Source organism: Homo sapiens, chromosome 18 (assembly GCF_000001405.40).
Source record: "Homo sapiens chromosome 18, GRCh38.p14 Primary Assembly".
NCBI lineage: Eukaryota > Metazoa > Chordata > Mammalia > Primates > Hominidae > Homo > Homo sapiens.
The window spans coordinates 36,188,728-36,204,327 of NC_000018.10; the positions used below are offsets into that span (position 1 = coordinate 36,188,728).

A 15,600-nucleotide genomic window follows, 5' to 3' on the forward strand; every position below is an offset into this window, starting at 1 on the left:
GGGTAACTGTGTTTTCCCTTTGGGGGCTGTGAGAACTGTGGCCTCCTCCTGTGTGTCTCCTCTGGCTTCCTAAGTAGGGAGAGTCAGGAGGGAGACGGGGGTGCCTTCTGCCAACCTCTCTATTCACTCCTCATCCTTCCCTCTCGCAGGGTCACCTGCTGGAGACAGCTCCTCACCCTTCTTTCGTATTCTCTCTCTCTCTCTCTCTCTCAACTATTAATTATGGAAATTTCCTACCACTCAGAAATAGAGGGGTACTATGAATGCCTACAGGTGCTGGGGAGGGAGGCTCTCCATTCTTTGAAGCAACTCTTCAAGGCTACCTGAGTAATTATATCAGCACCGCACCTCCTTAATCCCCTAAATCTCCTCCAGCTGTGATCTCTCACGCCCACTATTGGCCAACCTCTCCCCTCAATGCTACCCTGGGAAAGTAGAGCTATGTTCTGGTCCCCTCCTGGTTTCACTCTTGTCCCTCAGAGAACAGTACTTTTCCCCTCAAATGCAAAATTGGGATGTGTCAGCCAGGCTGGCCCTCAGAACTCGTTACCACTTACTGTATGTCTGGTAGTGTTGTGGGCATCTTTTATTTAATGCAAGTTCCTTGTATTTCCTCTACATTACGGTTAAAGCAGACATTTGTGCACTAATCTGACGCCCCTCCCACTGCTGGGAGTCTTGGAACATGTCCACTTGTTTTTCTCCTAGAAACAAGACAGAGAGAGGGCGGGAAAAAACAAACCAAAATAACATCACCTCTTCCTCGTTCCTCCTCTCCCCTCATGAAGTTTTTCTGCCAATTTGAGAATTACTCTGGTTAAGTGGTGGCTCAGAATAATTAAATGCTTAAGATTTAAGTGCTGAAATGTGTTACCTAAAGATTTGGATGGGAACTTCCTTGCCTTTGTGAAGGGAGAGTATTGAATATACGGATGTGTGTCAAGGGTCTCTGGAAGCCTTCGTGCTGAATCATGACCACTCACCATGCTGGAAAGAGAACTGGAGGGGGATGACCTAGAGCTGACCCTGGAATTCTCTTTCCTGAAGAAGGTCTGATGCCATTTAACTTTGGGGTAATTCACCTGTTTCTAATAACAGCTACACCTGTGTCCCGAGCATTGGACTGGATGCTGCCATATAGCAGCTCATTTAACCTTTGTCCCATCTGCAGATGAAAGAACAGGGGCCCAGAATGGCTACTGGTGGAGCCAGGATTCAAGTCTGGGTTGATTGACTTGGATTTTGTACTGTTAACCCCTATGCTGCCTGACTTTCTCCTAACATCACATCTATGGGTGATTTAACACAGCTTTCCCACCCTTTTGTTTTTCCTGCAAAATTAACCATTGGACCAAAAGCCAAAGCATCTTCTTCTCCAATAGCTACTTGGCCCTCCAGAAGACTGTGGCACAGTGTGAGATGCTCCCCAGCAGCTTCCAGGTCTCACCTGTGGCCTTGATGCCTGGGTGAACAAAAGCCTTTCTTTTGGTTTGGTACCTTTGTATTTCTGAATCTTTAGTAAAAGCGAACATTGTTTTAAAAGTATCTTTTTGGACTAGCTCATACATTTGATATGGTTTGGCTCTGTGTCCCCACCTAAATCTCGTGTTGAATTGTAATTCCCAGTGTTGGGGGAGGGACCTGGTAGGAGGTGATTGGATCAAGGGGGTGGATTTCCCCCTTGCAGTTCTCGTGAGGGTGCGTTCTCACAAGATCCGGTTGTTTAAAGTGTGTAGCACAAACTGGGTATGGTGGCTCAAGCCTGTAATCCTAGCACTTGGGAGGCTGAGGTGGGCAGATCACTTGAGCCCAGGAGTTCAAGACCAGCCTGGGCAACATGGTGAAACCCCGTCTCTACAAAATATACAAAAATTAGGCAGGCATGGTAGCTCATGCCTAAAGTCCCAGCTACTGTGGAGGCTGAGGTGGGAGAATTGCTTGAGCCTGGAAAGTCAGAGCTGCAGTGAGCTGAGATTGCACCACTTCACTCCAGTCTGGGCAACAGAGTGAGACCCTGTCTCAAAAAAAACAAAAAAACAAAACAAAACAAAAAAACTTTCTTTGGCCAGGTGCAGTGGCTCATACCTGTAATCCCAGCACTTTGGGAGGCCAGCCTGGCCAACATGGCAAAACCCAGTCTCTACTAAAAATATAAAAAAATTAGCCCGGTGTGGTGGCACATGCCTGTAATCCCAGCTATTTGGGAGGCTGAACCTGGGAGGTGGAGGTTGCAGTGAGCCAAGATTGAGCCCCTGCACTCTAGCCTGGGTGGCAGAGCAAGACCCTATCTCTCAAAAAAAAAAAGAAAAAGAAAAAAAAGTGTGTAGCACCTGCCCCTTCACAAGCACCTTCTCTCTCTCTGTCTCTCTCTGTCTCTCCTGTCACCATATGAAGATGTGCTTGCTTCGCTTTCCACCAAGATTGTAAAGTTTCCTGAGGCCTCCCCAGCCATGACTCCTATACAGCCTGTGCAACTGTGAGTCAATTAAACCTCTTTTCTTTATAAACTACCCAGTCTCAGGTAGTTCTTTATAGCAATGTGAGAATGGACTGATACAACATTTAGTGGTATCAGATTCAAAAGTTGCCAAAGGAGGGTGAAGAATCACCAGGGAGCCTCCCTCTCACGCCAGCTGCAGCCACTGTGTCTACCTCAGAGTCAATTGCTGTCACTCATGTCTTGTGTATCTTTCCAGTGGTTGTCCATATTTATGTGTGCATGTGCACACTTTTTGAGACGGGGACTTGCTCTGTCACCCAGGCTGGAATGCAGTGGCATGATCATAGCTCACTGCCGCCTTGACCTCTTGGGCTTAAGCTATCCTCTTGCCTCAGCCTCCCAAGTAGCTGGGACTACAGGTGTGCACCACCATGCCTGGCTATTTATTTCTATAGAGATGGGGTCTCACATGTTGCTTATGCTGGTCTCAAATTCCTGGCCTCAAGCAATCCTGCCTTGGCCTCCCAAAATCCTGGGATTATAGATATGAGTCACTGTGTCCAGTACACTTAAAATACGTGTGCACACACACACACACACACATGTGAGCCATATGTCTCACCACTTGACATAGTTTGTGTTTAAGGTCTTTCTCTGCCATTATCATGCTATCTTCTATTTTGTTCATTGCTGTGTCTCCAGCACTTAGAACAATGCCTGACACATAGTAGGTGCTCAATAAATATTTCTTGAATGCAAATACACTCAATAAACTAGGAATGAAGGAAAAGTTAACCAACTGATAAAGGTCATCTGCAAAACCCCCCACAGCTAACATCATACTTAGTGGTGAAAGACTGAAAACTTTCATCCTGAGTTTGAAACAAGACAAAAGTGCCTGTTCTCACCATTTCTATTCAACATTGTACTGAAGGCTCTAGCCAGGGCAATTAGGCAAGAAAACAAAATAGAAGGGATCCAGATTGGAAAGAAGTAAAACTATCTCTACTTGCCAATAATGTAATTTTGTGTATAAAAAATTTCAAGGAATCCACACACAAAACTATTGGAATTTAAAAACAAATTTAGCCAAGTGGTAGGATACAAGATCAATATGCAAACATCAGTTCAATTTCTATACATTGGCAATAGATACTATGAAAATGAAATTAGAAAAACAATTCCGAAGGCATCAAAAATAATAAAATACACAGAAAAAAATTTATCAAAAGAAGTATCACATACACTGAAAATTGTAAAACATCATTGAAAGAAATTAAAGAAGACCTAAATAAATGGAAAGATATCCTGTACTGATGGGTTGGAAGACTTAATATTGTTAACATGGCAATAATCCCCAAATTAATATACAGATTCAATGAAATGCCTATCAAAATCCCAGCTGCCTTTTTGCAGAAGTTGACAAGCTGATTCTAAAATTTATATAGAAATGCAAGTGACTCAGAATAGCCAAAGCAATCGTTTTATTTTATTTTTTGAGTCAGAGTCTCACTCTGTCACAAAGACTGGAGTACAGTGGTGCAATCTCAGCTCACTGCAATCTCCACCTCCCAGGCTCAAGTGATTATCCTGCCTCAGCCTCCCAAGTAGCTGGGATTACAGGCGCACGCCATTACCGCCTGGCTAATTTTTGTATTTGTAGTAGAGATGGGGTTTCACCATGTTGGCCAGGCTGGTCTTGAACTCCTGACCTCAGATGATCCACTCACCTCAGCTTCCCCAAGTGCTGAGATTACAGTGTGTGCCACCACACCTGACCTCAAAGCAATCTTGAAAAAGAAGATCAAAGTTAGAGGAATCACACTTTGCAGTTTCAAAACTTACTACAAAGTTACAGAATGGGCCGGGCGCGGTGGCTCACGCCTGTAATCCCAGCACTTTGGGAGGCTGAGGCGGGTGGATCATGAGGTCAGGAGATCGAGACCATCCTGGCTAACAAGGCGAAACCCCGTCTCTACTAAAAATACAAAAAATTAGCCGGGCGCGGTGGCGGGCGCCTGTAGTCCCAGCTACTCGGGAGGCTGAGGCAGGAGAATGGTGTGAACCCGGGAAGCGGAGCTTGCAGTGAGCCGAGATTGCGCCACTGCAGTCCGCAGTCCGGCCTGGGCGACAGAGCGAGACTCCGTCTCAAAAAAAAAAAAAAAAAAAAAAAAAAAAAAAAAAAAAAGTTACAGAATGAGGACAGTGTGATATTGGCATAAGTATACACATATAGACAAATGAAATATAATTTTAATTTAATAAACCCATATGTCTATGGTCAATTGATTTTCAACAGATACCAAGACTATTCAACGAGGGAAATAACTTCTTCAATAAGTGATATTGGGACAACTGGATATCAACATGCAAAAGAACGAACTTGGACCCCTACCTCATTCTGCATTCAAAAATTAACTCAATGGATCAAATACCTAAATATGAAACAGCTAAAAGTATAATATTCTTAGAGTAATATATAAGCATAAATCACTAGGACCTTGTTGAATTAGACAATAATTTCTTATGACACCAAAAATGCAACAACATAAATAGACAAATTGGATTTTATCAAACTTAAAAAGAACTTGTATGTTTCAATGAACACCATCAAGAAAGTGAAAGGACAACCCACCAAATGAGAGAAAACACATCCACACAAAAACTTGTACACCAGTATTCATACCAGCAATCATTTATAATACACAAAAGTGGAAACAATCCAAATATTCCTCAGTAGATGAATGGATAAAATGTGGTATATTCATACAATGGAATACTATTCTGCCATAACAGGAATGAAGTTCTGATACATGCTAAAATGTGGACGTACCTTGAAAACATTATGCTAAATTAAAGAAGTCAGACACTAAAGGCCACATATTGTATGGTTCCTTTTACATGAAATGTTCAGAACAGGCAAATCTAGAGAAGCAGAAAGTAGATTAGTGGTTATCAAGGGCTGGGGTTGGAGGCATTGGGGAGTGATTGGTAATGATATGGGATTTCTTTTGGGAATGAATGAAAATATTCTAAAATTGGTATTTATGTAATTTTATGAATATGTTAAAAACCACTGAATTGTATACTTTAAGAGAGTGAATTTTATGTTATATCTCAATAAAGCTGTGATAAAACAACCCATTCTACACAAAACAAAATATTTGATAAGTGAATGAATGGATCTCTTCACATTATATGTACTTGAAAGTGTATCTCAGAGTTTGTTTCATGTCAGTACTTATTATTAGTGTACAATGTTTATTTTAAAAGCGCATTGATGGATATTTAAGTTGTTTCCAATCTTTTGCTATTGCAGGCAATAGTTCGTCGAATAGCCTTATATTCAGGTCATTCCACAAAAGTGTGGGTATTTGTAAGATGAATTCCTGCAAGTGGAATTGCTAGGTCAAAGGGTGTGTACATTTTAAAGCATGAACTGATGTTGCCAAATTGCTGAGCATAAAGGTGTACCTGTGTACCCTCCTACCAGCCGTGTACCAGTGAGCTTGTTTCGCCACAGCTTCATTCACACAGTGAGGAATCCAACCACTGATCTCTGCCAATCTGATCAGTAATCCGCGGTATCTCATTTTCATCTAAATTTGCATTTCTCTCAGAGAGAGGTTGGATGGATCATTTGCATTCCTTGTATTCTTGGAAGCTCTGCAGCTGCATTAGTGTTGAGGGGTGCAGAGCAGTGTGGGAAAGTAGGATCAGGGCTCTCCCCTCAGGGACTCCTCCCAGAACCTCCAGAATAGGTTGTGAGTGACAATGTGAAACAGCTTTGCCATCATTCATCACGAATGTCTGCTGGGCGTCTTCTCTGTGTGGGATGCTGTTCCAGGTTCACAAAAGAGTGAAGAGAGCTGATTAATCAGGAGGGCTCTCTCAGTGCTTTAAAAGTCCTTCAGCATTAGAAGTGCAGTCCTTCCACTGCTCATGCCTACACTTGGATTAAGAGGCACATATCAAGAGGCACAAGTCAGTGGCCTGATGTTACGTCTGCATGCATTAGATGACATTGGTTGGGCTTACACAAACCAGATTCAGGTAAAATTTTAGTATTTATTTTGTGTTTTCTTTCAGGAACTGTCTATCTTGACCATGCAGGTGCCACCTTGTTCTCCCAGAGCCAGCTCGAAAGCTTCACTAGTGATCTCATGGAAAACACTTATGGTAAAGAAAAACACCTGAAACAGGTTTTAGTCAACTACATGCAGCTGATATACCTGTGCATGTTAAACGCTGGATTAATAGGCCAGGAATATTCTGACCACAAAAAGCTGAATAAGCCCCATGTAAGATAGGGGCCAGGCAAGCACCCTGGGTCATTCTGTACTGTAAACATGTGGCCGGGATGGAGGGAGCTGGCTCAGGGACAGACACACAGGTTACTACCAGAAGAAGAGGCCAGTGTTAGGAAGGGCACAGAGATTCAAAGGTGCTGTATTTGGTGGTGGTGAGTGACCCTGTATAGTGCAGAGAGTGGGGCAGCAGGAGGGATGTTAATTCAGTCATTCACTCTATAACTGTTCATTGAGCCACTATGATGTGTGGGGGACAGTGCTATAATGGGAACAAAATAAACATATCCCTTTCTTCTTGGACACTGTGATCTAGTCCTGGAAGACAAGACCTTAAGTGAACTCCAAATAGATGTGATTACCAACTGTGTGAAGGACTATGGACAAAAGGTGCCTGGTTCCAGGCCAGCCTGTATCTGCAGTGACAGTGGGGTTGGCTTGTGCATGTCTAGGGAAAGCTTCCTTTGGAGTGGAGTGGATGCTGGAGGATGAGCCAGAATTCACTCAGACAAGAGGGGGAGAAGTGCGAGCAGGCAGGGTAACAGCCTGAGCCAAGATCCCATAGTGGTTTCAGGAACCAGTCCAGGAACACGGAAGGGAGAAGAGTGGGAGAGGTCTGAATGGGGAGGGAGGGAGAAGAAGCCAGTGCAGGGCATTGTAGATGCTTGATCTTTGTTCTAGGAGCAATGGCATTGTCATCAGTGGCATTTATTTGCAGCACAACATGATCTCACATACTTTGGAAAGGGAACTTGAAATCATAGTGGCAGTAGCAATTGTAATATTTGTGATGAGAATAACGATAAGTAACATTTATCAGGTACTCGCTATGAGCTTTCTCTCTTCAGCCTCACAACAACCCAAGAGGCATAGGTTCTGGTATCACTCCTGTTTTATAGGTGAAGAAATGGGGCCCCAGAGAGGGCAAGTAACTAGCCTGAGGCTGCACAGGAAGGACTGGAGCTTGGAGGAGCTAGAAGCTGTGTTTGCAGGCAGTTTAGCTCCAGAGCCCAAGCCCTTAGCCTCCACCAGAGTGCCTCGATTCAGGATACTTCTGTTATGCCACATTAAGGGGTTTGGATTTTGGCTCTGGGCAGCCAGCAGATATTTAAATCTGGGGAACAGTCTTCTGGGAAGGTGCCAAGGAGGGATTTATCCTGATTTTAATCTGCAGTTTGCAAAGGTTCTTGTAATTCTCCTTCTTTAACCTTTGCAAGAGCCATAACCGTGGGAAAGCCTGAGAGATGGCAGAGTTGAGATTGCAGGTGGTGGTAATGATGCAGCGCTAAAGCCAAGCAGAGGAAAGGCAATGAGGATAATTACCAGGTCCCACAGGTTACTAGCAATGTGGAAACAGAACATATGGTAGCTGCAGTGGCCAGAAATCCAGTGCAATCTTTCAGTGTATTTTGGAGGAAAAAAAAAGTCTAAAACTAAAGGGCAAATTCTGCGTTAATGAGCACATGTAGCTCCTGAGAAATGCTGGTGCCTGGTCTTATAGGTCAGGCCCTACCAAAGCCTGTCTGGGGGTTAAGTTTGAGGGAGGTCATGATACTCTGGGACACATTTGGTGAGGACACCAGGAAGGGAGCAAAACTAGAAGTTAAGAGGAAGAGTGACATTGGGAGGAGGGCCTTCCTCCTTGAAAGTGGATGGCTAAGGGCAGCACAGTGGCCCCCTTCACATATTTGGAGGCCGGGATCAATTATTTCTGCAGGAAAGGCATCAGCAGTGGTGGTGGGATCTGCAGGGCAATACGTGGGGACTTAGATTAAGTGGCGTTCATGGCTCTGCTTCATGCTTGGAGAAAAGGGCATCCTCCTGAGGCTGTATACTGCATTCTCTGGAGTTAAACAGAGCCACAGCCACCTGTCTGGAACATGTAGAACAGACTCTTGCACTGGCCTGCTTCTGAGCTGACTTCCAGCTCTAAAATACTCTTCCCGATCACATTTGGTTTTACTAGTGAGGAGAGATTTTTTTTTTTAACTATATCATAAAATTTACCAGCTGGGTACAGTGTCTCAGGCCTATAATCCCAGTGCTTTGGTAGGTCAAGGTAGGAGGATTGCTTGAGCCCAGGAGTTCAAGACAACCCTGGGCAACATAGCAAGAGCCTATCTTTACAAAAAACAAAAATTTTAAAAAATCAGCCAGGTGTGGTGGCACATGCCTGTTGTGCTAGCTATTCAGGAGGCTGAGGCAGGAGGAGCCCTTGAGCCCAGGAATTCAAGGTTATAGTGAGCTATGATCAGCCACTGTACTCCAGCCTGGGTGATAGAGTAAGATTGTGTCTCTCTTAAAAAAAATCTATTTCAGGTGTCCAATGATGATTTTTTAGTGATTGACCTAGTGATGCAATCATCACTATAAATCAGTTAGATGTTTTCATTCCCCTGAAAAGATCCTTCATGCCCATTACAGCTAATCCTTGTTGCTGACCTTACCCCCAGGCAATTGCTAATCTACTACTTTCTGTATCTCTACAATTCTTTTGCTGGACATTTAATGTAAATTGATTCATGCATTATGTATATTCTTGTGTCTGGAGTATTTCATTTATCATGCTTTTGAAGTTCTTTCATGGCATAGCCAGTAGTTTGTTCCTTTTTATTGGCAAATAACTTCCCTGGCTGGGCACAGTGGCTCATGCCTGCAATCCTAGCACTTGGGGAGGCTGAGGCAGGAAGATTGCTTGAACCTAAGAGTTCAAGACCAGCCTGGGCAGCACAGTGAGACCTCATCTCTACAAAAAGTAATTTTAAAAAGTTAGCCAGGTGTAGTTGTGCACACCTGTAGTCACAGTTAGGAGGCTGAGATGGGAGGATCGCTTGAGCCCAGGAGTTTGAGGCTGCAGTGACCTATGATCATGCCACTGCCCTCCATCCTGGGTGATGGAGCAAGACAGAACAAAAAACCAAATCACTTTTTATTTTATGGATGTAGCATATTTTGTTTATCTGTTCACCCATTGATGGACATTTATATTGTTTCCAGAATTTGACTTTCTGAATAAAGCTACGAACATTCCCATGCAAGTCTGTATGGACATAAGTTTTCATTTTTGAGGGATAGAAATCTAGGAGTGGAATTGTTAGGTGATATGGTAGTTTTATGTTGAGCTTTTTGAGAAACTGAGGGAGTGGATTCAGAAGGAACACAAAAGAAGCGACCCTAAGTAGTGACTTGGTGGCCTTGTCTTTGTAACCTGCCAGGTAATCCTCACAGCCAGAACATCAGCAGCAAGCTCACCCATGACACTGTGGAGCAGGTGCGCTACAGGTAAGCATCAGGGACACCTGCCTGACTGGGCATACCTAGGCAGACAGACTTCCTTCCTAGGACTTGCCTGCATCCCACAAAAGTTCTGAGTTGGTTTCAGGAGGATCACAGTTGGCTAAAAGGCAATGCATGTATGTTGAGAAACATCAGAGTCAGAGCTCAGAAAGGCAGCGGTGAGTAGATGCAGTGTGGGGCAGATGAGACACACAGGTAGGTGGCTCTGAGGTGCACACAGCTGTTCTGTGTGGCTCCAGAGACTCTGCAGTGCCAAAGTGACAGGAAGTGACCCAGGATCCTAGGTCTTGTTTTCAGAAAGAAGAAAAGTACTATTTCTCTGGTTTTCCTTTTCATAAGAAGTTTTATTAGGCAACTTGTTTTCTTCCTGTCTTTTTTCCCTTTTCCCCCCTTTTTTACTAGTATTTGTATGTTAAACAGCTCTCTATACTTTCTAAACATAACAGTATCTGGCAAATAATTTCCAGGTTGTCCTTAAAATTATTAACACAATTTCCAATCACACAATTTCAAGTTAGTTCAAATGTGAAAGTGATACTGTTTTGCTATTAGAGTTGCCAAAACTAAAAGCAATGTAAACAGGTTGATTACTACTTAAACCTTGTTATGTTAGAGCTGAGCAGAAAGCACCAAGGAGAGAAAGTAGTATCAACTCTGATTAAGTTTATTGTGGATTTTTTGTCATACATATCCAATTGGAGATATCCAGTGATATTTGGGAGGTAAGAGGATTTTGCCAACTGGAACTCGTTCCCACGGCTTCCATTGCCCTCGCCCTAATTTCGCAGCTGTGGCAAACCTATCTATCCATTAAGGTAGAGATGTCATAGTTAATAGAAATAAAACAGCCTGCAAACATTCAGTGCTGGGGCTGAGATCCGCGGGTTGCGGGGATGCTGTGCTTCTTCCAGAATCCTGGCGCACTTCCACACCACCGCAGAAGACTACACTGTGATCTTCACTGCCGGGAGCACGGCTGCTCTCAAACTGGTGGCAGAGGCCTTTCCATGGGTGTCCCAGGGCCCAGAGAGCAGTGGGAGTCGCTTCTGTTACCTCACCGACAGCCACACCTCCGTAGTGGGTATGCGGAACGTGACCATGGCTATAAATGTCATATCCACCCCGGTCAGGCCAGAGGACCTGTGGTCTGCAGAGGAACGTAGTGCTTCAGCCAGCAACCCAGACTGCCAGCTGCCGCATCTCTTCTGCTACCCAGCTCAGAGTAACTTTTCTGGAGTCAGATACCCCCTGTCCTGGATAGAAGAGGTCAAGTCTGGGCGGTTGCACCCTGTGAGCACGCCTGGGAAGTGGTTTGTGCTGCTGGATGCAGCCTCCTACGTGAGCACCTCGCCTTTGGACCTGTCAGCTCACCAGGCCGACTTTGTCCCCATCTCCTTCTATAAGATCTTCGGGTTTCCTACAGGCCTGGGCGCTCTGCTGGTCCATAATCGTGCGGCTCCTCTACTGAGGAAGACCTACTTTGGAGGAGGGACAGCCTCTGCGTACCTAGCAGGAGAAGACTTCTACATCCCGAGGCAGTCGGTAGCTCAGAGGTAACCTTGCCACAGGGGAGGGGTCAGAGGAGTTCAGCAAGGTGGGGTCTGGCCTGTTTCTCCTGGAGGATTATGCAAGAGGTGGGTCTGGCTTTGAGGGTCAGCAGAATTCAGGTTGCTGGCAGGGACAGGCTGATGGCAGGGCTCAGATCTGGGAGGCAGAAGTTGACTGGAGGTGACACAGGTGTTCAGTGAACTCTACCCCCATTTGAGAGGCTTCTCCAGAGCTGTGAGAGGACTGGGGCCTGCAGATAAGAACTGCACACAGGAGAGATAAAAGGCCCTCATGGGGTAAGGAGGGTGAGCTACCAGGCCTCTGCCCTCAGCACTGACAAGAGGTTGCAACAGTTGAAACAGTGGCCTTAAAAGGTGGCACCCAGTGGCTTTAAAAGGTGGCACCATTTGGAAAAAGTCTGCCCACACATTGACAGCATAGCTGGTTCTCCAGGAGCTAGGATCAGCTCAGCCTGGCACCTAGTTAGCAGGAGGAATCAGTTAAAGCAGAGGCCCCCAGACTTGTGAGGCAGTGTTAGCGGCAACCTCTATGAGCCCCACTGTGAGTGAGTTACAGAGGGAGTCTGGGTGCAGGTTGTCACTTGCCCTCAAATGCCAGAGGCCTCTGCCTGGGTTGTTGGCATATGCATCATCCCCAGGCTGCAAGGGCAGGTGGTGTGGGTTATGCTCAGGACTCTTTCAAATGGTAACAGCTGGGACCTGTAAGGTCGAGTGTGTCAAGGCTGAAAATGGTGGCTGATCCAGGGTTCTGCTGGGTCAACAGTGGGGACACAGGGTTGGGTAGGCAACTAATCACCTCCAGGGTCCGGAGAAGGCCTGGGGCATAGACGGGAAGGGCTTTAGATCCCCAACAGACCCCACACAGACGCAAGGGTCCTGCACGTAGGGCCATGGCCTTGACGATAGAGTCAGTGTTAGCTGTGTAAGCCTCAGGCTGGACCACTGGGGAATGAGTCCCCGCTCCACTGCACACCAGCGAGGGGACATGTGACTTGTTCTCTGCACCTCATGTTTTTTCTGTAAAGTAGAAATGATAATATTGGGTCGGGTGTGGTGGCTCACACCTGTAATCCCAGCACTTTGGGAGGCCAAGGTGGGTGGATCATGAGGTCAGGAGTTCGAGACCAGCCTGCCCAACATGGTGAAACTCCGTCTCTACTAAAAACACAAAAATTAGCTGAGTGTGGTGGTGGGTGCTTGTAATCTCAGCTGCTCAAGAGATTGAGGCAGGAGAATTGCTTGAGCCCAGGAGGCAGACGTTGCAATGAGTCAAGATCATACCCACTGCACTCTAGCCCTGGTGACAGAGCAAGACTCCATCTCCAAAAAAAAAAAAAAAAGAAATGATAATATTGTCCTTTTAGAGCTAACATGGGTGAAGTATCAGAATGGTAGGGATCAATGTTAGGAGGCTATTTGATGCCTCTTTTATTTAGGACTTGTCCATAGTTGGGGGGCTTCTAAAACAGGAATGCTCATGTAAAACCTCTTGACTCCAAGTGTGATAATTTACCATGTAACAGAATCAAATGAGAAAAGAATGACAGGCATAACATAATGTAAGTTACAGGCAGAACAAAGCGACACCTCAAATTTAATTTGGCCAATAAGGGCACCTGAAGGCCAGGAGAAGTGGGGCAGCTCACTGGGGGCCAGGGCATGAATGGGCTGGGGGGGATCAGACCTCTTTCCTTTGATTCAGGTAGATGACTTTACAACAGATGACACGCCAACATTCCCAGAAAGCTGAATTTATTTATTTACCATTATAAGCCAATTTTTTTCTTGTGAACTTAGGACTAGAACTCAATAGATTTAATACTCAACCTAAAGGTTTATTGAATAAATACCTTGACTATGTTCTCAACTTTATTTTATAACTCAGCGAAGTACATCCCTTGACAGAAACAAAAAACTTTTATTTTAAGAAATCTATTAAGTATTTGATCAATAAATAATTGTCAATCAATAACTGGCTAGTTTAACAAATTTTTTTGTAGAGATGGGGTCTTGCTATCTAGAGATGGGGTCTTGCTTTTTGTAGAGATGGGGTGTTGCACAGGCAGGTAGTTTCAAACTCTTGGCCTCAAGTGATCCTCCCACCTGGGCCTCCCAAAGTGTTGAGATAACAGGCATGAGCCACTGCACCTGGCCACCCTAGGAAATTTAGAGCAGCCCAAGAAAACTGCAGAGTGGGTCAGGGCCAGAGGCAGCTGGACAGGTCTTGGTGTACAAAGTGCCCCCATCCTGAAGGGGAGAGCAATGTTTTATAAGACAGCAGAGGGAAGGTATTAATAGATTACAGCGGTATTAGTCCAATTTCACACTGTTATAAAGATACTACCCAAGACTGGGTAATTTATAAACAAAGGAGGTTTAATTGGCTCACAGTTCTGCATTGCTGGAGAGGCCTCAGGAAACTTACAATCATGGCGGAAAGGGAAGCAGGCACTTTCTTCACAAGGCAGCAGGAGAGACAGAGAAGAGCCCAGGGGAACTGCCATTTATAAAACCATCAGATCTCGTGAGAACTCCCTCACTATCACGAAATGAGAACAGCAAGGGGGAAACCATCCCCATAATCCAATCACCTCCTACCAGGTCCATCCCTCAACACCTGGGGATTACAATTAGAGATGAGATTTAGGTGGAGACATAAAGCCAAACCACATCAACAGCTAAGCCTAAAATCTAAAGCTCATTATATACCACGAAATGCACATGGATTGTTTTGACCACAGCTTGACCTGTTCTCCTTACCCCGTGGTTATAGGTTTGAAGATGGCACCATCTCATTCCTTGATGTTATCGCGCTAAAACATGGATTTGACACCCTAGAGCGCCTCACAGGTCAGTGGACATTTCTATCCCTGTGGAATTTGCTCCTGTTGTGTCCTTGAGGGAGCTCTGGCACAGGTGTGATTCAGGTAAAGGAGACAGAGTCTGTGGAAGTGACTGGCACTCCATGTAGTTAAATTTGATTCCTAGTAACTTCAAAACCACTTCAGAGAGCAAGAGAATGAGGTGGGGTTTTTGGATTGTTTTTTGTTTTTTCAGCTAAAATAACATTTTAACAGGTAGAAGACATTCCAAATCAGGAGATTGCTAGCTTCACAGAATGAGAGGAGCATCCCTGGGTCCTGGGAATGGTTACAGATCCTGAGGCCTTTACCTGCTCTTGCCTTTCTGGGTCCTCCCCACTGCCCCACGGGGGAGCTCTGCCTATGAATGAGCTGATGCTCAGAGAGGTTAAACGCCTTCCAGGCCAGGGAGCTGGAAACCAGGAGGGCAAGGATTTAACCCAAGTCATACTGATGCCTAACCATGAGCACCCAACCACTGTGTCTGCCGATGGTCTTCGCATGAGGCATGATTTCTTTCCTGGCCATTGCTCTTTTGTCACAGTAATGGGACCCTTCAGTGCCTTAACCTTAGCCTTAGCCCAACATAGGGGCAGACAGGATTCACGGGAAGAGAGGGTCGCCCTGATGGCAATGCAGGGAGGTGAGTGGGCATGATCTGGGACAAACGGAGTAGTTAATAAATACAGGCAGTGAGTAGTGAGTACTTTCCAAGGAAAGATATTAACAGGGCCCCCAAACTGCAGGTGACAGTGTCTAACAGGTCCAGGTAGCTCGGAATGCAAAGGTTGACTGTACCAGTCCACAATATGGCAAACCCTGATTTTTTTCCTATGTCATTGTTCCTTTTTTAAAAAATAAAAATTGTGGTAAACTATACATAACATAAAACTTACCATTTTAACTATTTTTAAGTGTACAACTCAGTCGTAGTAAATACATTCACAATGTCGTGCCACCATCACCACTATCTATTTCCAGAACTTTACCATACCAAACAGAAACTCTGTACCCATTAAACAATAACTCTCTATTTCCTCCTCCCCTTCCAACCCTTGGAACTACTTTTTTTTCTCTGTGGATTTGCCTATTCTTGGTAACTCATCTAAGTAGAATCATACGACATT

At 44.9% G+C, this 15,600-nt stretch overlaps 1 protein-coding gene and 1 long non-coding RNA gene across 2 annotated transcripts in view; both read left to right on the top strand.

The window, feature by feature from the left end:
* MOCOS (molybdenum cofactor sulfurase) overlaps positions 1 to 15,600 on the top strand; it is an 84,661-nt gene that overhangs the window by 1,231 nt on the left and 67,830 nt on the right. Inside the window, exons 2-5 of the mRNA NM_017947.4 lie at positions 6,530 to 6,619; positions 9,963 to 10,029; positions 10,956 to 11,597; positions 14,386 to 14,462. Coding sequence (NP_060417.4) covers positions 6,530 to 6,619; positions 9,963 to 10,029; positions 10,956 to 11,597; positions 14,386 to 14,462 — 876 coding nt within the window. The remainder of the gene's footprint in view (positions 1 to 6,529; positions 6,620 to 9,962; positions 10,030 to 10,955; positions 11,598 to 14,385; positions 14,463 to 15,600) is intronic.
* On the top strand, positions 2,395 to 5,580 carry LOC124904286 (uncharacterized). The gene is made up of 2 exons (XR_007066343.1): positions 2,395 to 2,476; positions 4,740 to 5,580. It is a non-coding gene; the product is annotated as an uncharacterized LOC124904286 (long non-coding RNA).